The following is a 24,261-nucleotide window of genomic DNA, read 5'->3' as shown; positions in this document are numbered from 1 at the left end:
GCATTCTGGAGCAGGGGACCCCACAGTTTCCCCACCCGGCGGAAACACCCGGGGCACCATCTGTCAGCTGCGTCCATCTGAGATGGCATAGTCAGTAAGATGGGTATAGGTGGCCATGGCTGACCACACCCCACAGCTGGGTCAGGATTGTGGCCTGGAAGATGCAAAGCCCAGGGTAGGCTGGAGGGTTGGGGGAGGCCCTCAGAAACCAAGGCCCGGAGCAGGACTGAGAGAGAGTAGGAATGAGGCCTGGAGCAGGACCAAAGCCCGGTGTGGTGCGGGACTGAGACAGAGAGAGAGCAGGAATAAGGCCCGGGGCAGGACGGGACGAAGGCAGAAAACAGGACCAAGGCCCAGAGCCGGACCAGGGGTGGGAACAGAGTTCCCTGAGCTCCAGGCCCAGCCGCCCCTCCTGCGGGCCTCACCTGCTGGTCTCCTCTGGGACCTCAGGCTATGCTTCCTCATCTACCCATGGTTGAGTCACAGCCATCTGCAAGAGTCGCAGTCCCTCCTTTACTGCCTGCACGGGCTGCACTATGACGCGCACGGATCTCCGACTCACCTGGCCATTCCCGGTGGTGGTACATTTCGGGTGTTTGTGCTTTCCTGGTTTTTCCCTCTTCCTTTCAATTACTCTCTTAGGGCAAATTTCTGGGAGCAGAATTATGGGATGAAAAGGTCTGAGCATTTTCATGGCTCTGGACTCATCCTGCCAGGCTGCTCTGAGGACGAGTGAGGCCCCGTCACTGAGGCCCCTCCAGGCAGACAAGGACGTATTTTCCAGCAGAGGCTTCGACTCGAGGTCACGTCCTGCGCTCAGCTACTGGGAATCCGAGTGGGCGGACAGGGTCGAAGGGCAGCGTTCCAACGGCCTTGGGCCTGAGTAAGTGCCCTTGACAAACACGCTGCTGAGTTCTGCTGAGTTCTGTGAATAGTGAGCACGGGCTCGCGGAGTTCTTACACTGTTCTCAAGATGACGGGGCCCAAGGCGCCGCCGATGCCCTTCCTGCCTCAACGGTGCCCCATCCCTGAGGTGGCCTGGGAGGGGCTCCTGAGGTCCCAAGCAAGCTCTGGGCTGTTCCTGGCCTGGGCCCAACGGGGCCTGAGGTCGGTGACTGAGGACACACGGCTGCTTCCCATTCTGACCTTCCTGGGAACACGCCCCTCGTATGGCCACCTGCACACCGTCACGAGGCTGTCTAGATACGTATGCGTTTTAAATACTACTCCACATGCTGGAGAGCTCTGCGGAGTTCCCCATCCTACAGCACTGCTGTGCCCTGCTGCCACTGCCATCATCATTTATGGGATTCATTTCATATCCTTAACCTTCATCAGACTGTCAGGCTATGACTGAATCCTCTTTCAAAAACCAGGTAAGGGCAGGCATGGTGGCTCAGGCCTGTGATCCCAGCAATTGGGGAGGTCCAGGCAGGAGGATCACTTGAACCCAAGAGTTTGAGACCAGCCTGGGCAACACGGCGAGACTCAGTCTCTTAAAAAATTAAATCAATTAAGTAAATTAAAATAAATCAGGTAAACAAAATTGCCTCTAATGGTCCCAAAATATGCTTCTTGCCTTTCCCATGAGCACAGTCCCAGCTGCCTTGATTAAGCCTGACAGCAAGGAGGGAGGGGCCCAGGGCTGCAGCGGACCCCTGACTCTCAGCAGCCCCATTTGCTGACCTACTGCAGCCCTCCCTGCACTCTGAGGGTCTCACTGTCTGACATCCTGCAGGCTGGAGGCAGCTCTCAGGCCACAGGCCATTGCTGAAGGAAGGGAGGGTCTCCTGGGTGGGCCAGGGCTCAGGTCTCGGTGTCTTCCCAGGAAGACCCTAGCCTCCTCCCCCTGGCACACTGCCCCATCCCAGGTTCAGGGAGGAGTAAACCAGGGCCTCTCTGATTGGGGACAGGAAGGAGGCACCCAGTGTTCCTGCCCTAGGAGCTGGTGGCACAGGCCCCTTTGGAGGACGACTCAGCCCTCCAGGGCACCTAGTGTCAGCTCAGTCCATCCAAGGGGGGCTGTCTCAGGATGGATCCCGTGACAGGGACCTCCTGGAAGCAGTTGGGAGCCAACAAGCACACCTGGGAGGGCCCAGACAGTTGGGGCCCGAGTCTCCACAGGCAGCACCTCGCCATCCCACGAGACTCAACGTCAGCCGCCTGGGGCCCTCCCCGGATGTGCCCAGCACAGAGAGCCAGACACCTGGCCTTCCTCCTGAGCAGACCTGCCAAGGGGCAGGCGCCCCGTAGGGTCCACAGGTGGGGAAAAGCAGAGGTCACCTCCCAGATTATGGCAGGACTGAGCGCCTGCAGCAGGGGCAGAAGAAGAGCCTGCTCCTGGCGCGTCCTCCGTTGCCCAGCCATGCCACTGCGACTGTGAGCCTCTCCAGGCTGCGTTCCTCGCGAGGCTGCATCTGCCCTGGGTGCTCAGCACACAGGCGAACCCAGTTTGCCTCCTCACCTGCGGTCCTGGTGCCCGACACAAGGCGACCCTGTCCTGGCCACGTCTCCATCTTCCCTCTTAGGCCTTGCTGGTTTTGTTACTCAGTAAAGACCGGGAGGATGACGATACCAAAAATGTCAAACGTGAAGTAAAATCTGCATCAGCAGCAGTCCCAGGGCTTTGGAAAGACGGCCCCGCCCATCCTTCCATCAGACCCTTACAGCCACGAGAGGAGGCGGCTCCCTACTTGGCAAACAAGGGAAGGGGCCCAGAAGTGGCCCCTGCACCTCGCACCCGAGCCAGCTTGAGCTTAGGAAGCCCACAGCCCCTGACCACCAATGGTCCCCGGGCCGCCCTGAGGCTTGCCTGGGAGCCTCAGGTATGGAGGGACTTCACCGGCCGCTGCGGCCTCAGGGACTGGCTTCGTGCTTCCTGCTTTACGGCGGGTCTCCTTGACCACTGGAGATTGACGGCGCTCAGGAGGGTCAAGCATCTTCCTGATGCTCACCTAGCTGCTTCCAGGCAGATGCTGTGGGCGCTCTCTGGACCCCATCCAGATGTGGGGTAAGCTCAGGAGGCGAGGCGTCCTCCCTCCACGACAGGCAGCTCTGTGCCTGGATCAACTCATCATAGAAGACAGGGGGCGGGGGCAGCACGGCCCCCCAAGCCTGGGCTGACATAGGTCAGCCCACAGCCTCCTGGGCAGAGGCCAAGGCCACTCATTGGGGCTGTACTTTCCGTGTGCCTCAGGTCACGTCCAGCTTGAGGGACACAGGCCTGTCCCCAAGAGCTCTGATTACATCAGTCCAAGATGCTACACTACAGAGAGGGAGTCCACAGGGCAGCCAGGAGGGCTCCCTAGAAGAGATGAGGTTTAAAGGGTGAATTGCCCACAAAGATAAGAGGGTGACAGCACAGCAGGCAGGAAGGGCCTGCAGGAGGATGCAGGGGCCCTGGCCCTGGCGATGGGCTGGTCATCACTGTAAGCCTGTGGGAGGGCCAGCACCTGGGATCTCGCTACAAGCATGGAGGGGCTGGAGAGGCCAGTAGGGTGGAGGCTGCACACTGGGCACACAGGCCCTGGTACGGCTGTGTGGCTGATACACGTCCCAAAGAGCCACAGTCCTCCATAGCCCCGGCCCTCACACCTGCCTATCACACCCAGACCCACTTTCTGGAATGTGGAGTCCACTCAAGGTGGTTCTCTGTGGGTCTCCAGCACACAGTTACCACCTGGGCCAAGGGGTCATTGTGTGAACACAAGGAGATGGGGTGGGAGAAGGGTCACATCCAGGAACCCGCTGGGAGCCCCGTCCCCTTGCCTGGCAGGCTGAGGACAAATGCAGTTATGAGCATCTTTCCATGCAGGAGGGGTGGGGGGAGCACAGGCCCCTGGCCTCCAGCTGATGCCACAGGGCAGGGTGGACATCTCCACATCCACTGACCCCAGCCAAGCCCACCTCCCCCAGTGCTGTGAGGCCACCTGTGATGGACGCCAGGCCACCAGGGAAGAGGTTGCAAGGCAGAGCGGTGTACAGGGAGCGCTCCCTTGCCGTATCCCTCATCCTGGAGGGACTGGCTCCTGGGGGCAGCAAGGACCTTGCTAGTGACTGAGGGAAGCACCCAGCCAGGCTCAGAGACACTTACACCAACCGGGGACAGGAAAGAGGGTGGTGCAAGGAAGGCCCAAGGCTGTGGCCCCCCTCACCTGTTATGCCAATGATACCAGCCCATCAACCTGCTCTTTCCTGCACAGTCTGGCCCCAGCCCCATGAAAGCACAGCTGGGCTGGCCCAGGGAGCTGGGGTGAGTGGGTGGGGGACAGGCCAGTCTGTCCGCCCGAGGGGCTACACGGGTGACCTAGGACCCCAAACTGAGAGCCAGTGAATAACATCGGCTCAGACTCGGTAAAGCAGCAGGGCCTCAAGATTGAGCAACATCTCACGTCACCACTTTGTCTCCACCCAGAGGACTTGCTCTCAAGTCTGCGCAGGTTCCTCAGGCGTCAGAACCCGACCCTGTGCTTCTGGCCCTGGGTCTGAGGGTACAGGCTGGCCTTTTCTGGGGTGAACGTGTCCCAAGTCAGGGAATCGCTAAATCCCTCTCAGAACTCAGAGCCTGAGGACAAGGCAGACGGGGGTGCTCCAGATGTGGACCCGAGATGTGGGGTTTGCAGGTGGGTGAGAGGCGCCCCATCTCTGGGGTGGGGGTCAGACCCGGTAACGTGTCTACGTCCATCTGCTCCACACTCCCCGCTGCATACGGCGTGCAGACCAGAGGAAGGGTTCCACGCGTTTTTGAAAACCGCGCCTCCCTAACTGCTCTAGCCATCTTGCACATTTGCAGCTGAAGACTTCTGTGAGTACGGGGTCCTCCTGGGAGGCAGGTGCAGAGGCTGGAGGGACCCACACCAAGGACATACATAGGCCATTTCATGTTGTGCTTAGCAGTTAAACTGCAGCACATCAACAAAGGTTTTCTCTCTCTTTTTTTTTTTTTTTTTTTCCGAGACAAGTCTTGCTCTGTCACCCAGGCTGGAGTGCAGTGGTGCGATTTTGGCTCACTGCAACCTCCACCTCCCAGGTTCAAGTGATTCTCCTGCCTCAGGCTCCCAAGTAGCTAGGATTACAGGCATGCGCCACCACACCTGGCTAGTTTTTTATATTTTTAGTAGAGATGGGGTTTCACAATGTTGGTCAGGCTGATCTCGAACTCCTGACCTCAGGTGATCCGCCAGCCTTGGCCTCCCAAAGTGCTGAGATTATAGGCATGAGCCACTGTGCCCAGCCCTCTTTTTTTGTTAAATCAGGACACACTGTTTCTCAGAAACTGGGAAGTCAAGACTCTCCTTTCAGCTAAGCAAGGAGCTTACTTAGAAATGAACCCAGGGAGGAGCCGGCCAGGGAAAGCCACCGTCCCCCGAGCAGCCAGGGGGAGTTAAGAGGCCTGAAGATCTGGCCCTCAGGGGGCAGGAGCCAAGACAGGGCCAAGGCCTTGGGGTGCATGAGGCTGACACAAGACAAGACTCCAGGAGAACACTGAGAAAAGGGCAGCGTGCTCTGGTCCTTGCTATTCAGTGCTGATCTGTTAATCACTCAAAAAAGAAAAATCTGCAAAACCCAGATTACATCTTAAAATTAGATAAAATTTTCTTTCTACAACTTCTAGACAGCATAATTTAGTGGGAACAGTCTTGATAATTATTTTTTCTTTAAATAGTTACAGTAGAATGTATTAATTTTCAAGATGGCTCTCTGATTAGAGTGATTCATTAGCTCCAGGAACTGTCCCCATCACGCTCAAGAATGGAAACGCCTCCCTTTATGAAGGGTGCGCCAGTGCAAAACCCTCCAAGTCTGGGTCATCAAATTAGATGAGAGAGAGGGAAAAAAAAACCCCAAAACACACAAAAAAACAATAAAAAACCCCAACTGTAATAAGCTACCTGTTTCATTATTTCATTAAGACATGTAAGTGGAAGAAAAAAAAAAACCCTCTAATCATGTTCCTCAGGCAAATTCCTACGAACTGACAGAAGCTATTTAAGAGAGAAGACAGGAGAGGCAGCCGCAGTTTTTAATTTTAATGTCCAAAAAGGAAAGTGTCTCCTGTCTGGTTCCAGGAGGTCCCAGGCGCTAAGTGCTGGTGGAGCCGCACTCAGGGAGCCTGGGGCAGCCCAGGGAAGGTGGGTCGTGGTATGTGGGGGCAGCTACATGTTCCCCCCTCAGAGGTGGGGCACTTAGGGAGGTGACCTGAGGCCAGCAGGGTGTGTATGGAGCTGGGTGCTGTTGGTTGTGGATCTGTCACTGGGAGAGTGAGGAGGGGAGAGTTCCCAGGGATGGTCCTGTTTACAAGTGGAATGTCACTGCCTCAAGGGGAGGCACTCGCCATGGCAAAATTAACACGGAGGCTGAGAACTCTGACTGCCTTCTCAGGGAACCTGGTGCCCTCACTAGGACCTGGATCCATCAAGGCTCACAGAAGGCTTCATAGTTAGGTTCAGGAAATATTTAGCCATCCCCCATCCACCCATCCACAGATGCCCCCCCACCCCTGCCACCAATCCATCCATCTATCTACCCACCCATCTATCTATCCATTCAAACATCCATTACCATCCATGCATCATCCACCATCCATCCATCACCCACTAATCCATCCATCCACCTGTCCACCATCCATTCATCCACCCACCCATCCACCCATCCATCCGTCCACCATCCATTCATCCACCCACCCATCCATCCACCTATCCATCTATCTATCCACTCAATCCATCCACCATACACCACCCACCCATCCTCCCATCCATCAATCCACTCATCCATCACCCACCCTCCACCAATCCATCCATCCACCTATCTATCCACCTATCCATTCAAACATCCATCCACCATCACCATCTATCCATCCATCCATCCACCCATTCATCAATCCATTCATCCATCTATCCATCCTCCATCAATCCATCCATCCATCCACTTGTCCACCATCCAACCATCCATCATCTATCCTCCCATCCATCAATTCACTCATTCATCACCCACCCTCCACCAATCCATCCATCCATCCATCCATCCATCCATCCATCCATCCATTCAACCATCAATCCATCCATCATCTCCATCTATCCATCCATCCATTAGTCCATCCATCCATCCATCAATCAGTCCATCCTTCCTCCAATCCATCCATCCATCCACTTGTCTACCATCCATCCATCCATCCATCCCCTACCCATCTATCCATTCAAAAATCGATTCACCATCCATCCATCCATTCAAGCATCCATCAACCTATCCACTTTCTATCAATCTATCCATTCATCTACCCACCATCCATCAATCCACCTGTCCATCCATCCATCCATTCTTTCTCCCATCCACTCACCCAAACATCCAAACACCTGAGCATCACGTTCTATGGTTTGAACTTCTGTGCCCCCCTGCAATTATGATGTTTAGATCTAAACCCCAAGTGATGGTATTAGGAAGTGGGGCCTTTGGGCAGTGATTAGGCCATAAGAGTGGAGCCCTCATGAGTGAAATTAGTGCCCTTACAAAAAGGACCTGAGAGAGGCCCCTCATCCTTTCCAGTATGTGAGGACACAGCCAGAAGACAGTTGTCTGCAAACCAGAAGAGAGTGCTCACCAGAACCCGACCCTACTGGCACCATGATCGTAGATTTCCAGCCTCCAGAGCTGTGAGAAACAAATTTCTGTCTATGCACTCCATTATAGCAGCCATAGCAGACAAAGGCACAGTGAAACCTAGGCTTGTCTCCTTTCCCCTCCTGGGCAGAGACCCCTGGCGGCCTCAGACGCCATACTGCCTGCTGCCCACAGTTCAAGGAACTCCTCCACCTGCCCGCTGGAAGGAGCTTTGAAAGAAGTGGGAGTGACCTTGGCCACCTGTGCTGACCCCACTCAGCACCCCTTCCAACTCCCGGGGCACACGTGGGGCCTGCATGTACTCCCGGGGCACACGTGGGGCCTGCGTGTACTCCCGGGGCGCACGTGGGGCCTGCGTGTACTCCCGGGGCGCACGTGGGGCCTGTGTGTACTCCCGGGGCGCACGTGGGGCCTGTGTGTACTAAGGGAAGGCATCTGCATTTCCAGGCCCTGCCCTCCTCTTAGCTTCTGGAACCACAAGGAAGGATGACCAGTGGTGATGGATGCAGCCGGCAACAGGTGTACATGCAAAGGACTCTGAATGGGGTGTTTTCTAACTGGCAGAGAGCTGTAAACCCAAAATGAAACCCTAAGCCCCCCAGCCAACTGAACAGACACCCCCATAGGCCAAGGAGAGCCCAGAGAAATCTGACAAACTGAATTCCCAACCATGATGGGATGGGAGATTAGACACCCCTCAATACGCCCCCTCCCTTTTGGAGTTTAGGCCCCACTGACCAGCAGTATCATTAAAAGAGAGATCATAAGACTGACAACATGGATAATTTGTGGCAATAAGATACCAAATTCCAACCTGACTCTGGTGCAGCATCACATGACACATAGCAGGCTCTAAAGGAAATCAAAATATTTTACCCCAAAGAACATTTCTCTGACATATTTTGAAATGGCTCTGCAAAGCCGTCTCTTGTGAGGAAAATTTGCATCTCCTTTTTCTAGGTCTTTCCTGGATCCAAGAGAGATTTCACTAAGAGTCTGACACCTTTTAAGGTCCTAGGAGAGACATTCATTCTCTCTGAAGCCTGCTGCTTACAGGATTCATCTACATAATAAGAACTGTGGCTTCCATAACCTCCCATTTTAACTCCAGCATTCCTTTTTACTGACTTCTGAAGTCTTTAGACAAAGCTTAACTCTTTCAACCAATTGCCAATCAGGAAATCTCTGAATCCACCTATGACCTGGAAGCCCCCACCTTGGAGATCTCCCCTTTCCCAGGCCAAACCAACGTACATCTTAAGTGCACTGACTTATGCCTTTGCCTGTAACTTCTGTGTCCCTAAAATGTATAAAACCAACTATAACCCAACTCAGGCACACGTGGTCTTCCTGAGACTATCACCCAAGGCCATGGTCACTGGCGGAGAATAAACCTCCTTAAATATTTTACAGAGTTTGGCTTCTTGGTCAACACAGCCTATCAGCAGGGAAGCTCTGGGAAGCTCCTCTGGGAGCCGCACCCCGAGAGGTAAGTGCCGGGCACAGCGTGTGAGCAGGTCGGGCCCTGGGGTCACCATGAAACATGGAAACCTTTGTATTTCCAAGGAATTGGAGTTCTCAGCCGCTCTTGGGGGATTTTACCCAGACACAGCCTCAGTCTTTGTTTAGTGCCTTGGGCACTTGCCTGTCCCAGCTGACAACCTCAAAGATCCTGGGAAGCGGGCAGGAGTGTGGGGAGGCCTGGAGAATCTGAAAGGGGCCAAGGTGCTTACCAGGGTGACACAGTGCACACAGTGACTGAATTGCGGCTGGTCTGCTCTGGAGGCAGCATCAACCTTGTTCCTACCTGAGTCCTGGGTGTCCAGCCTCGTGAACGGGAAGGGTCACTGTACTTCTAGACCATGGTTAGGTCACATCATGAGATGTGGAGGCTTTATGGGACAGCTGCTGGGAGTTCTGAGTCACTCCATCGCCCTTCCCTGGGAAGGCCAATCACGCTTCACGGCTGCCTCCTCTCCTCCTGGGCTCAATTCTGCCTACTTCCAAGTGCCTCTCAACACAGTGCCCTCCCTCTACCCCACAAAGCCTCCAAAGATCACCGTCCTGTGAGCAAACCCCTGATCCCACAGGAGACAGGAAGGGCTGAGGGACGGCAGAGCCAAGCCATCCCCACGCACTTCTGCTTCCGAACGCTCACTCCCCTCCCAAGAAAATACCATTGCCTGGAATTCAGGTAACGGCTCACTCCATGGTAAGGAGACTCGGGGCCTTGGGAAAATCATAAAACTGATTGCACTGGTCAGTTTTCAAACTGCTATGAATAACTACCTGAGACTGGGTAATTTATAAAGAAAAAAAAGTTTAACTGACTCACAGTTCCTCATGGCTGGGGAGGCCACAGAGGAAACTTACAATCATGGCAGAAGGCAAAGGGGAAGCAGGCACGTCTCACATGGAGGCAGGAGGGAGAGCCGGCAACGGGGGAGGGGCTACACTTTTAAGCCATCAGATCTCGTGAGAACTCACTCACTGTCATGAGAACAGCATGGGGAAAACCGCGCCCATGATCCAATCACCTCCTGCCAGCTCTCTCCCTCGACATGTGGGGATTACAATTCAACATGAGATTTGGGTGTGAACACAGAGCCAAACCGTATTGCCAATGACAAGTTTGAAAGTTTGCAATTTTTTCAAAACAGTTCTGTGATAGAAAGCGTTGAACTGAATGAAGGTGCTGGCCCAGCCTCCTAGGCTGTCCTGGCAGTGGGAGGCTGTTCCTGAGCCGTGGAGGAACCAGCGAGTGCACGGTCTGTGGCCCAACGACCTGGCTCTGGCCTCAGCCCGTCCCTTCAGGTAAACTCACTTTGGCCAAGAGAGCCTCTTGGCCTCATCTGAAGAGAAGGGTGCAAACAGCACCTTCTAAAAGCAAAATAGGTGAGAGGAGTGGCAACTGAGCACTGGGCTGTTAGGCTGATGAAAGGGCACAGTGCCCAGCAAGTGCCGTACCTGGCGCTCTCTCACCACCGGCCCCCAGCTAATTAGCTTATGGCGTTAAGCTATTAACCAGCACTCTCGTCTGTGTGTAATGCCTTTGAAGAAAGTCTTTATTACGTGGGAGGAACATCCGGGCCTGTCCGAGGTCACTCCTGCATCACTGTGCCCCGAGTGTGTGTGTGTCTGTGTGTGTGCGTTTACCAAGAGAGCCGTGTCTATTCCGAAACCTGGCTGTGACCCTGTAGCTGGTATTGCCACCGGGACTGTATAACTTAAGTAGAATTAAATAAGTCAACGGAAGGTAAGTGTGGAAAGCAAGCAAGGAGCTGTTTCCATGAACACTAGCTGAATATTACCGAAAGATGCAATAGAGTACATTTCTAAAAAACAATCTGCTGTGAATTTAGGTGTGGTCAAGACAAGGGGAGAGACGGAAATCAAAAGTCAAAAACTGCCAGGGGACTCCACGCGTGTCAAGCCTTCCTGCCACACTGTAATGAAACACAACCTTGAAATCATCAAGTATAACTAGGAGCCTGGCTTTAGAAATAAACACACGCACAAAAAAAAACCGACGAAAGCACCAAGCCACAGATCACCCGCAAAGCAAAGGCCTCATCCAGACACACGTCAATTCAGCGACAATGACTGTGCTTCTGGGTAATATGCAAATGCCGTCAGGCTTTTGTCAATACAGCGACAATGACTGTGCTTCTGGGTAATATGCAAATGCTGTCAGGGTTTTGTCAATACAGTGACAATGACTGTGCTTCTGGGTTATATGCAAATGACGTCAGGGTCTTCTGCTTTCACCAACTTGTGGGACAGTTGACCAACCGCTGGTAAGGATGTCAAGAAGACCTCTTTTCAGCCTCAGCCTGGTCCTGTGGGACGTGGGGTCACCAGGGGACAGAAGCTCACGATGATATGTATCAACATCACTAGCAACTTCAGGGGGCTCTGGGTGGAGGGGCAGATGTTCCCAAAGCCACCTGTACCCCTTCTGCCCCAACCCCTTCATCTGCAGCCCCTTGGGTGTGGGGGTCTCACCCAGGTGCCATCTGCCATTTCATCCCCTCATCATCACGGCTCTAGGGGACACCTGGAGAAGCCCTGGGTTCTAAGGTCAGGTCATTCCTGAGGCTGGAGAGTGGCAGGGCTGGCATTCCTGCCAGCTGCTGGTCTAGGGAGCCCAGACTGCTGGCCACAACCTGGAGCAGGAGGACAGAGTTCTGGATCCTCTGAACACATCCACAGGGGTGCAGAAGTTGTGATTTGTCATCAAACACCCACTGTGCTCCACGAATGGGATCGATGGGAAGCTGAGGACGGCCTTGGGGAGCCGCAGCCTCAGGCCCTGGGAGGCCCCGAGTCTCCAGTGAGTCCACAACAACGTCTGCTTGACGGGGAGCTCCCGTACCCTCGCAAAGACTCCACAGCTCCTAGGACAGTGGACGGATCTGTGCGAGAACCTAAGGCCATTTCCCCTCAATGTCCAGCCCCCAACGACGGGGTGCTGGTGTTTGATCAAGCAGGAGTGGGAGAGTCTACATGTGGACAACACCCCAGGATCCGGAGTGTGTGCAAGAAGGACAGACCCCATCTTCTAACTCAACTAAATAACTACACGTGTGTTCTGTCTGAGAATCAGGGAAAGCGCCTCTCTTGGAAACTTCTTGCCTCTGTTTTTTTCTTTTTTCTTTTCTTTTTTTTTTTTTTTGGAGATGGAGTCTTGCTCTGTCACCCAGGCTGGAGTGCAGTGGCACAATCTCGGCTCACTGCAACCTCCACCTCCCAGGTTCAAGCAATTCTCCTGCCTCAGCCTCCCAAGTAGCTGGGATTACAGGCACCTACCCCCACGCCTAATTTTTTTTTTTTTTTGTATTTTTTTAGTAGAGACAGGGTTTCACCGTGTTCCCCAGGCTGGTCCTGAACTCCTGAGCTCAGGCAATCCACCCGCCTCAGCCTCCCAAAGTGCTAGGATTACAGGTGTGAGCCACCGCACCCGGCCTCATCTCTGGTTTTTAAACAATTTGAAATGAGGAGAGCGTCTCTACTGCTGAGCTGTGCGTGTCCTCACGGGTTGGAGCCCCTCATTTTCTGTGCTTCTCCTAATTGGGGGGAAACTCGGTTCCAGGCATTTGGATGTGCTTTCCTTGGTTACAGCTGCGATGGGCAGGGGCTGCCTCTCCCTACAACTCTGAGCATGATGTGCTCAGGGATAAGCGTGGCTCAGGCCCTGCCTCCGAGTGCTGCATGCTGCACCACGATGTCTTCCAGGATCCACTAATATTCTGAGCAATCCACTGAATCTGACAGGTAGGGCCCCGGAGAACAAAATGGATGCTCAGAATTTAGGCAACATGTCTGAGGTTTCCAGCGAGCCTGAGCCAGATTAGGATCCTTCCAGAAGCCGTGGTGGGAGCGCAGGTTGGGCCTGGGGGCCCTTTTCTCCATGCTCCCCAGTTCTTGCCACCCGGGCGCCCTAAGATGAGAGCCGACACAGCTTGGTGTGCCCGGCCCAGCACTGGACGGTGGCACAGTGGGAGTGAAGCAGGCACAGGTGCAGGTGTCTGCAGCACTGTGCTCCCAAGGCGGCTGCAGTGGGAAGAGCCAGGACATCTGGATCCTCTTTCACTGGACCAGGACCTCCCACGGTGAGGACCACATCCTCAGTCCTCCTCTGCCCTAGAGACCTGGCATGCACAAGGGGCCTGGCACACTGGCTGTCAGTGCCCAGTCGTGGTGGGCAAATTTTGGGAGGCTGCCCTGTCCAGGGGCAGCAGCAGTGCTGGGGTCCCTCAGCTCCTCCTGCCTCCCCATCCTCTGTGTTTGTGGGTGCCCACTTCCCTTTCTTGGTGGCCCCTCTCAGTGTGCTGCCGTCACCTCTTAGCCCCCTCGCCCTTCTCTCCTGCTGTGGGGCTACCTGGACTTGAATGGAGACTAAATGCCACAGGGCCCCGGCAGCAGGGACTGGGCAGGCAACTGCATGGCGGGTACAGCAGGAGGCTGTGCACTAAAGTCTCCTCGAGATCTTCCATCTTTTGTTCTGAGAACCCAGCAAAAGCTGGCAGCAACCTGGGTCGTGGGACGCACACGCTCCTGCCAGCCCCACAGAGCCCCAAATTGGAAGTTATTTATAACTCTGCTTCCAGCAAAGAAGACAGGCCGGAGCCAGGGCCTGGGGTCTGGGGTGAGCAGGTGGTTTCAGCCTCAGACATGATATCCTCCTTGCACACAGGGTGGGGGGACCATGGCCACCCATCCACACCCACCGGGGCTGCAGCAGCTGCAGTGAGACCACGGGTGGGTGCCGGTTGAACCGGGCCCTCTGCAGCCTCACGAGGCCTCTGTGACTCCTGGGGGTGATGCTGGGATAACATTTACAAGTGGGAAAACTGAGGTTCATGGGGTCCGCCCTAGGCCATCCTAAAGGAAGGGACAGAGCTGGGGGTGGACTTGGTCACCACTGGGCTAAGCTGCCTGGCCTGTGCAGAACCCTGAGAGTGCTTGGGCAGGGCCGGTCCACACGGTGAGGGCGGCGCTTCATGGAACAACACATCTTCAGCCACACCAGGAGAGGGATGGACAGGGAGCCGGGAGAGGGATGGACGGGGAGCTGGGGAGCCAGGAGAGGGATGGACGGGGAGCCGGGAGAGGGATGGACGGGGAGACGGGAGAGGGATGGACGGGGAGACGGGAGAGGGATGGACGGGGAGCCCGGAGAGGGATGGACGGGGAGCCGGGAGAGGGATGGACGGGGAGCCCGGAGAGGGATGGACGGGGAGCCCGGAGAGGGATGGACGGGGAGCCGGGAGAGGGATGGACGGGGAGCCCGGAGAGGGATGGACGGGGAGCCGGGAGAGGGATGGACGGGGAGCCCGGAGAGGGATGGACGGGGAGCCGGGAGAGGGATGGACGGGGAGCCCGGAGAGGGATGGACGGGGAGCCCGGAGAGGGATGGACGGGGAGCCGGGAGAGGGATGGACGGGGAGCCCGGAGAGGGATGGACGGGGAGCCCGGAGAGGGATGGACGGGGAGCCGGGAGAGGGATGGACGGGGAGCCCGGAGAGGGATGGACGGGGAGCCGGAAGAGGGATGGATGGGGAGCCGGGAGAGGGATGGACGGGGAGCTGGGGAGCCAGGAGAGGGATGGACGGGGAGCCGGGAGAGGGATGGACAGGGAGCCGGGAGAGGGATGGACGCCGAGCCGGGAGAGGGATGGACAGGGAGCCGGGAGAGGGATGGACAGGGAGCCGGGAGAGGGATGGACAGGGAGCCGGGAGAGGGATGGACAGGGAGACGGGAGAGGGATGGAGGGGGAGCTGGGGAGCCAGGAGAGGGATGGACGCGGAGCCGGGAGAGGGATGGACGGGGAGCCGGGAGAGGGATGGACGGGGAGACGGGAGAGGGATGGACGCAGAGCTGGGAGACGGATGGACGGGGAGCTGGGGAGCCGGGGAGCCGGGAGAGGGATGGACAGGGAGCCGGGACGGTGCCCTGGCACCGGAACTCAGAGACAGGCTTCCAACATGTGAGAAGTTTCTTCTGTCCTTACACCCTGAGGTCTTTGAAATACACAAATGTACACACCAGCATTTTTTTTTTTTAACTTTGTTTTTCCGTTTTCTTTTTAGAAGTTTCCATCATGCGTTTTCCTGTGACGTCTATCTCCAGCATCCTTCCTTGAGCGCAGGGCTTCCGTCCTGTGGGTGGGCTGAGGACACTTTTCCACGTGTGGGACAGAGGCCGCACCACCTGCAGCCCTGGCCCCGCCTGCCGCAGCCCTGCTTAGGTCACACACGCGGCTCCCCGACCTCTTCCTGCTCCAGCTCTCCAGGCTCATCCAGAACTCATGTCCCTCCAAGGACCTGTTTGAAGCCCTTCCCTGGACCACAGGCCTCAGCATTCTCGCCTGGTGCCCGACCTCTTCCTGGTTCCTCTGCACAGGGCCCTGAGACACATGGATGGATTTGAGGCCTGTGTCTTTGCCCCGCATAGGGTCAGTTCTCCGAGGGTGGCTCGGCTGGCTGCCTGTACCACTGCATCCAGGTGTGGAGCCCGGGGCACAGCAGGATCCCCAGAACATCAGCTGCACAGAGCCGGCGGGAGAGAGCCCCTCCCTGGGGGCCCTTATAGCCCAGCTTAAGGGAACAGGAAAGAGAAGCCTCAGAAGCCCTCAGCAGAGGGAACATGGGGCCCAGAGCAGCCGCCCCAGGAAAGAGAATTCAGGAAAGAGGTTTGAGGGAGGCGGCTCAGGAGGACCAGGGAACTGGAATGGCAAGGGTCAGAGTCAGGGAGCTGCTGACATCAGACAGAGCAACGGGGGCGGGGATAGGGAGCCCCAGGGGCCTGGAAGGTTTGGGATGCAGGAATGGGGAGCTCTGGGGAGTGAGCTCTCGGGGTCTAGGGAGGCCTGGGGGACTGGAAGGTCTGGGGGTGAGGATGCCAGATCAGGCAGGGCTGCCTCCAGCTTGGACCTCCACAGTGTTGGAGCAACATGGCAGGGCCACTGCAGGACTCCTCTATCCCTCCCCAGGGGCCAGGACAGCTGCCTGTAGCTGTGCTTGGGTGGCCTGTCATCCAGGAGGGGGACGCCACGCCCGCCCGACCTGACTCTCCTTGTGAGGGAGACTCACTTTTTCTTCAGTTTCTTCCTCAAGTTCCTCCTGCAAACTTCCAACCAGGAGCTGCTTCCTCTGGGCCTTGGCGCTCAGGGGTGGGAGGCCTCGGGGAGGAGAAGACCCAGCCTGGACTCCAAACTCAGGCAGATGGGCCCAGGAGGGAGGCAGCAGGCAGAAAGCCAGGTCTGGGCTGTCCCACGTTGCTGCTGGGTCTATTCCTGGCCAGCTGATTGGCCCCTCTGGTCAGTCTTGCTGGAGATGAAGACTTGCCGGGGAGCAGTCCCTCAAGAACACGGGAAGGTCACTACAGCCTGGATACATGTCCCTTCTGCAATCGCGTGGCCCGGCCACCCTGAGCTGCCTCCACCGACCCCGGCATCCCCATCCCCAGAACTGCACATCTGAAACCGACGTCCGAGCCAAGGCGTGATGACCAAAGGTGTCGGGAGCACAGCGGGCGGGCAGGGTCCTGCTCCCCAGGCCTATGGGGGAGCCACGAGCAGATCCTGCCCTGACAGCAGGAAAATAAAATTGTTTCAGCCCATCAGCATCCCCGACGGGCACTCAGAAGGCAGCTGTATTCACAGCAGCTGGCCTGTGCCGGAAACAGCTTTCTGTCCAGTGGGCAGGAGAGAATGTCCAAGATAATTGTGTCTTAATACAGATTTATATGGGTGGCTCTGGGGTGGTCAGAAGTGGCTTCCAGCCGAATGCCAGGCAGGGGCGTCCTCCACGAGAGAGCAGAGTCTTCTGCAGGGCAGAGGCCTACCCAGGGCTGCCCCTGGGAGCCCAGTGGTAATGACAGCTCAAAAAGGTGACCCCCACCCTAACCAGACCATCCTGGGAACCCTCTAATCACTTCACACTTGCAATGTCCAGGGAGGTTAGTCCAAGGAGCATCCCACTTCCAGGAAGAAACTTAGAGAAATCAGTTGACCTCCTCAAGGTCAATGGCTTGGGAGTGGAGAAACCAGGACTTGAGCAGGGCTTGTTGTATCAGAGTCCAAGCCATGAGCAGTGCATACCCGCTCCCCGGCCGCAGAGTCCACACTGGCTAGTCCACACTGGCTGGGGAGAGGGTGGCTCCAGCTATCTCAGCCTGCAGAACTGGGTTGCAGTCCTGTGTCCTTCCTCGTGGGGGGCCATTTGCAGGCATGGCTGGGACAAAAGAACTGGACATCACACAGGCTTGGAGAGTGGGAGCCGTGTAGACTCCTGAACGACCACCAGGCATACCTGGGAGAATCACCCACAGTGGTGATGGCTGTTCCCCCTGCGCCTCTGAGCGGGAGCCACAGGAAAGACAAAGCAGGGATGAGGCCCGCCTCCCTCCAATGCCTCCTTTGCTTGCCTGCCCCACACCCTAAGAGGCATGTCTGCTGGCCCCTTTCTCCCGGGACAACGTCCACCCTCCCTCAAAGGCTCACCTGGCCCAGACCCAGAAGGTGTCCTCCCACCTGTGGCCACTCCCAAATTCCAGATGGAACCTGGACCCCAGGTGGGAGGGACAGGCCAAGACCATGAGGTGGACGCTGTCCAGGCTCTCTGCCCTCCCAGAACACTCTGGTTCCTTTGACTGGGCAGGCTGGGGACACGGCTGGATCTTTGAGGCTGGCTGCTGTGGCCCAGGGAGGCTGCCTGTGAGCCCTCTGGGGGCTGAGATCAGCCTGTGCTCTGTGTTTTATTCCAAGCCTCAAATGGTCCAGCCAAGGCCCACTGCCTGCCCCACCGCCAGCTGCCTCAGCAGCCTTCTGGAGGCAGCACCTGCTTGCCAGTGGTGGGCGCCAACTCTCTGCTCCTGAATGAGGGCAAATGAGGCACCTGTGCCTGGGCGTCAGGGTGCGCTGTGATGCACAGGGCAGTGGGTCTGGGATGAGCCACCTGCAGGGCCTTCAGGCTTCAGGGCTGCACTCCTGTGTGCAATGGTACAATGCTGACCTGGAGACTGGGGAGGACAGGGTGGGTCTTGAAGAATAAGAGAGCAGGAGGCCTCAGGCCTCAGCCAGCAGGCGGGGCTCCCCGGCAGCTGTGAAGGAAGAGCCAGGACAGATGCTTGGAGACTGCAGAGGGAAGCCGGGCTTTTGCACCCAGTGGTGTCAGAGCAACCTCGGCACATGCCTCCTAGGTCTTCTCCAAGCTTGGTGTTGAAAACGGCCGCCACCAGGACTGTCCTGCTGAGATGCCCAGCTGGTGGGGGGTCCACTTGTCTGGGCAAAGCTTCTCCAGCCTATTTCCCCTTTTGCTGCCCTGATAACAGGAATATGCCTCCCAGGATCCCACAAGTGGGTGTATGGGCCGGGCTGCTTTGCTGAGGGCAGCAGAGATGCCCTTTCCAGGCTGATCCCTGAAGGCTGCTCTGCATCCCCTGCTCTGTCTCCCGCTGCAACCTCTGAGGCCCAGAGTTTTGGACGGGGGCCCCGCCACAGGAAGCCTCCTGAGTCCTGCATCTCTGCCACTTGGCAATACCCATGTTGATCTTTACGTAAACAAAATGAACTCTGATGGCAGGTCATTGGCAAACTTTTTCTTAAAAGGCCACAGAGCTTCGGAGGCCGAGGTGGGTGGATCACCTGACGTCAGGAGTTCGAGACCAGCCTGGCCAACAGGGTGAAACCCCATCTCTACTAAAAATACAAAAATTAGCCGTGTGTGGTGATGGGCACCTGTAATCCCAGCTACTCGGGAGGCTAAGGCAGGAGAATCTCTTGAACCCAGGAGGCGGAGGGTGCAGTGAGCCGAGATCGCGCCACTGCACTCCAAGCCTGGGTGACAGAGCGAGACTCCATCTCAAAAAAAAAAAAAAACTGGCCAGACAGCAAATCGTTTGGCCTCTGTGGCTACGCAGTCTCTATCTCAGCCTCGTCTCTGTCACTGTGACACAAAGCAGCCACAGCAACACCGAAAGAATAGTGTGACAGTGTCCCGATAAAACTGTGCATCGGGCCAGGCTTGTTCTTATAGGTACTGCTAATGCTGCAAATCTCCCATCACACTGCAGACCCAACGGGCAAGCTAAGGTGGCCCCCCTCCCCACGGCGTCTCCCTGAACGAGGGCTCCTTCTGTGGGGGGTGTGGACCTCCCACTGTCCCTGCCTTTGTGACGTGTTGTTCCGGGACAGGCAGTCACTAGGGCCCAGATGCAGCGTCTAACTGCACTAACATGGATCAGCCCCAATGTCGACGCCCAAACAAAAGCGTGGTTTGCAAATGACGCGATTCAATCAATAACACCGAGATCACCGTTGTGCAAACTGTAACTCGAAGGCTGAGGAGGGACGTACCTGAAAGGTCACTCAGATAAAGCCCGTTCCAGAGGCAGGAAGAGCAGATCCTGGGATGTGTGAACACAACAGTCCACACAGCCAAACCATGGACAGGCATGGACGGGTGCCAGAAAGGAACCGCTGGCGGAACAAAAGCCCTGCCCTGGGGAGCCCCGAGTTCTGGCTGGGGCAGGTGGGGGCGAGCAATGCCGGAGGCCCAAATGTGACATACCGTCTCACTGTAACTAACTGCTAGAAGGGTGCCTGCAGCCGGGAGCAAAGTCCCAAGAAATGAGAGAAGATGAAACCGGGACCTACATCTGCACCGCCCGGCCCAAGCAGGAGGAAGGGCGGAGGGCAATTCCTGCAACATCCCACAGAGTCTAGATGTGAGATGGGCGAAGAGGAGTCCAGATGTGAGGCGGGCAGAGGAGTCCAGATGTGAGGCGGGCGAAGAGGAGTCCAGATGTGAGGCGGGCAAAAAGTCCAGATGTGAGGTGGGCAAAGGGCTGGGGCAGAACGGGCCCTCACTAGACACCCGACCCCAGAGCCGGGGCCAGCCCTCCCACCCCTAGTATCTACAGAGCTATACCCAGCTATGATGCATTTCCCAGGCAGAGTTAGGGGAAGGGCCTGTAAAGAACCTGTGGGTTGGCAGGACAGGTCAGCAGGCGGTGTCTCTGTGTGGACCACAGCTCCACAGAGTGGACATCAGAGCCAAAAATAACCTGGCCCCATGCACCTTCACCTTCCACCCTCCCTCACCTCCTACATACCCGGGGCTGAGGTCAGCCTGTGCTCTGTTTTATTCCAAGCCTCAAATGATCCATTTGACATCCAAGCCCTACACACAGTACACAGCCAGGCAGTCCACCCTGGAACACCCAGAGCCTCTCAGTCCAGCAGCGACAGGGCACCAGCCATCCCACCCTCAGAAGAAGGCCGGCCTCTTCCTGGCCAGCAGAGCCCAACAGCCATTCCCCCAACTTAGGAGAGAAGCCTGCTGCAGAGGCAGAGGGTCCCAGCCACCCTCCCAGGCTTACAGGCCTAATCCTCTGTTGTCCAGAAAGCGACGAGACAGGCAGGACTGCCTGGGAGGGAAACTGACAGCAGGAAGCAGAGGCACAGAGAGGAGCGAGCTGAAAACTGACCCCAGAGGAAGCAGAGACACACAGAGGCAGAAACTCTGTTTAATCTTTTTCAAAAAACATCTGCAGAGATCCACAAGGATGGTGCCACATCAAACCAGAGCAGACTGCTTCAGAAAGCAAGAGTTCCCCCAAAGTTCAAAGTGGGGTTGCTGGAGGAGAAGATGACGGTGATGGAGGGGACCTTCCTCAGAACTTGAACAACGAGACCGATATCTTCTAGAGCACAGTGCCCCAGATGAAAAGGAGACAAGTATGTAAAAGAAGAAGCTGGAGATTTGGAGGCACTGGTGCAGCATTCCTTAGCGGGGTGTGCCATCAGCCTTGGGGTCAGGGTTTTTGTCTGTTCCACACTGTCCTGGACATACTCAGGACTCGGCATCCAGGGCTCTGAGCACCAAATGCCATTAGGACCGTGGTCTTTATAGTGATGAAAACCACCAGCACGTGTCTGGGTGTTGAGGTTCTATTTCCAATGGAGAATAATTGCTCTGATCAGAGTCCCAAGGGAAATAAAGACAATGGAGGAAAAGAAATAATCACAGATACATAAAATTCCCTGAGCTAAATCTGAACTTCCCATGCAAAGTGCCCAAAGGTGTCAACATACCTAGATGTCATGCAATGATGCATCAGAATCAAAAGGTCAAAAGGATGGTGCATGGGTTCCTGAGGGGTGATGAGCAAAGGAGTGAGGTATCACACAGCCATCATGTAGGCTGGGAGAAGGCAAGGAAGTGATGTCTTCAAAGCTCCAAAAGAAAATCTGTTTGTGCTGTAATTCTATACCCAGCCACGGTATCACACACAACAAATCATGCTTTGAGGAAATGCTTATCTGATATGCGGCAACTTCTTCAATCTCACCCATTTTTTTTCCCCTGATAAATGTAAGGAAAATGGATACGTTCAAAAAAGCTAATAGAAGTTTCCTTAGGGCAATAAAAGAACTATTTCCATTTTCTTCTTTAGGCTACAATTTTCTCTACTGTCCAAATTCTCTACCATAAACATTAAATGTTGGATGCTAGTTGTGAAGATAATTGAAGTGGACTGTTGTATTGCACGCAGATGCAAGCAGCAGAAGTATGATGATTCCCACAAACCAACTTCCCCAGAGTCCATCGGCTAAGGCTTAACAATCAGGAGTCCAAAAACCAAGCCAAGAACAAAGGCTGTTGACACTCAGAGTTCAGAGAAGGAAACTTCGAGATGAAAATCTCTCAATATCAGCTGAGCTTGGTAAATATAATGAAATTATCTCAATCACTTACAGAAATCATCTCTGATCCCTGAAGCAGTGTTACAAACACCCTTTACAAACCAGAAAACTGAGACTTGGAGAGGTTCAGGGATTGCTTCAAAGACACATAGCTACTATGTACAAGACCCAAGATCTGGACCCCAAGGATGCAGTTTCACAGCCCGGGCTTACTCCCCACTCATCAGATATTGTTTGGGTCTCGGAAACATGCACCTTCTCTCTTTGCCTGCAATCCTGGGCCTGGTCACACATCAGGGAGCTGATTTCTGAGTCACAGTTGAGAGACTCTCCAGGGACAGGCACCAGGGACAGCCACAGAAGGGAGCTGTTTTCAGAGAGGGGCCACTGTTTGCTTGTGTTTCCAGGACTGGAGGTGCCCTGAAGGTCTCATTAGGCCCTGGGAGGCCAGGGGATTCTCTGATAAATGTGTCTGTTCATGTCTGGTTTAAACTCAGGCTCGCTGACTGGGATGGCAGGTTCCTCTCCAGACACTGTTCCATCCCAACAGTCATGCTCCCAGAACACAAGCCTCTGAAGGAACCACCACTCTGGATGGCTTGGTTGGGATGAGCACCGATGAAGAAAGCAGGGAGCACTCTGACTTTTCCACAGAGAGTGGAACGTACCCCAGGCTGCCTGCCTCAGCAAGCCAGCACCACTTTCGGCTGAGAATTTCTGTGATTCTCAACAGAGCACCCCAGATGTCAGAAATGCCCTGAGCAGAGAAAGACAGGTGAAAGGGCTGGTGGGGCTTCCAGGCCAGGGGCAACTTGGCTCCGTTCGGTGCTCCCTGCACATTGAGGAGGACTCACGGCTCAGACCTGCTCATTCTGGTCCTCCTGGCTGTTTCCCCGAATGGCTCGAGCTCCTGGGGAAGCTTAGCAGGGTGAGAACTCAGCCGGAAGCTAAGGACACGGAGGGCACAGGTTTCCTGCATGTCTGTGCAACCTGAACATCCAAGGCATGATTTAAGAGTGTGAGCATACGGCACAGTCTATTCCTCCCATCTTGGTGTGTCCCTGGGATACAAAAGATCCTCTAGCATTTTCTAATAAATTCCTGTGGGTGACGCTTCCCTCTGGCCTCCAAATTTATGGGTAATGAGCAATGGCAGTTTGACTTAACAAGGTTTAAGATTTCCATTCAAACAGATAAGTTAGCACCAACTGTCCCAGGCTTTGGGAACGGTGTTTCCCTGCCTTATTTATTGTACAGAGAGTCACCAGAGGCCCATAAAGCTGCCTCAAAGTAAGCCACGGCTCCTGATGGTCTCCATCATGTAAAATTGCCCTCACACAACTGAGGAGGTGCTTTCTCGCCTTCAGGCCATGACAAAATGCCTCAACCCAGCATTTTCCTACATCCTGATGAGACGGCAAAATTGCCGGGTCATTAACCAGCCGCTCCTAAATCCTGTCTCTGCTGCAAGGAGCTTTGACCTTGGGTTCGACCCTGCCCAGGCCACGCGGCTACTGCTCCTGCTTCCCCCACCTCCACCGATGGATTGCCCCCATTTTCACTCTCTAGAGCCTCAGTGCGGGGCCGGGAGTGGGGCTGAGCCCAGCCGGCAGCTCTCCTGAGTCTGAGCTGACAGCCCGCCATGGGCTTAGCCTCTAAAAGGCTGGCATGGGTGTGTTTACCCAGTGCCCACCAGGCCTGGCCTTCCAGCGTGTGCTTAAGCATTCTGTCCTCCGCGCCTTGGTCCAGCAAGAGCCTTCATTAAAAAGAACGTTCCAAACCCTGTAAGCCAATTCATAATGACTTCTTCAGAGGAATCGTGGCCTAGATAAAGGAATGGTATCCAATACTGCAATTATTTACCATAAAAACCACCATTAAGGAGGGCTGACTCCCAAGGCGCACAGGGCCATTAGCAGCCGATTACAGAATGAGGGGCAGTGTGGGCCAGCCCCTAAGCACACGCACAGCCCGGAGAGCTGTCCTCTGAGAGGATCTAAGCGCCTAACATGAGGCCAGGGCTGAACATCTGGCTCTGGGACATCATCCTTCCTCTTTCCGCAGGAGGGATTCGCAGGCTTGGATGGCTGAGACAAGCTGCTTGGGAGTTGAGGGGCAGTAACAGCCAGGACTGGGGACCCGGAGAGGTCACAGTTTGTTTAATTTTCAATTTCCAGCTAACTGAATGGAGAAGCCAGCTCAGGCGGGAGGCAGCACAGCCTTAGGGCTGGTGAAACGTGGAATCACAATCTCAGCTTTGCAATAGCCTTCATATGCGAGGGCCAGAAAGCACTGACGTCTCTGGGCTATGGTTCATTCCTGCAGGCAAGTGGGCAACATGGGGCTGGGAAGCAGGTGGGCCTGGTGACAAACGTCTTACCTGACACAGGGGCTCCTCCCATGGCCCCTTTGCCCCCAGGAGCCTGACTCGG

The 24,261-nt window shown here is 55.5% G+C and overlaps 1 protein-coding gene across 2 annotated transcripts in view, besides 2 other annotated features; it reads right to left on the bottom strand.

The window, feature by feature from the left end:
• Window positions 1–24,261, bottom strand: part of TAFA5 (TAFA chemokine like family member 5) — a 262,380-nt gene that overhangs the window by 57,989 nt on the left and 180,130 nt on the right. The window lies entirely within an intron of this gene.
• Window positions 22,147–22,316: an enhancer, noted in NCBI's record as "experimental_63487 CRE fragment used in MPRA reporter constructs". NCBI's record gives its function as "activates a minimal promoter by MPRAs in K562 erythroleukemia cells, with activity observed for both the introgressed and non-introgressed 22:49067525 variant alleles {active_cell/tissue: K562}" and the evidence as "EXISTENCE:reporter gene assay evidence [ECO:0000049][PMID:34662402]".
• Window positions 22,619–22,788: an enhancer, noted in NCBI's record as "experimental_63485 CRE fragment used in MPRA reporter constructs". NCBI's record gives its function as "activates a minimal promoter by MPRAs in K562 erythroleukemia cells, with activity observed for both the introgressed and non-introgressed 22:49067053 variant alleles {active_cell/tissue: K562}" and the evidence as "EXISTENCE:reporter gene assay evidence [ECO:0000049][PMID:34662402]".

This window comes from Homo sapiens, chromosome 22 (genome assembly GCF_000001405.40).
Source record: "Homo sapiens chromosome 22, GRCh38.p14 Primary Assembly".
NCBI lineage: Eukaryota > Metazoa > Chordata > Mammalia > Primates > Hominidae > Homo > Homo sapiens.
This window is presented reverse-complemented; position numbering and strand designations above follow the sequence as displayed.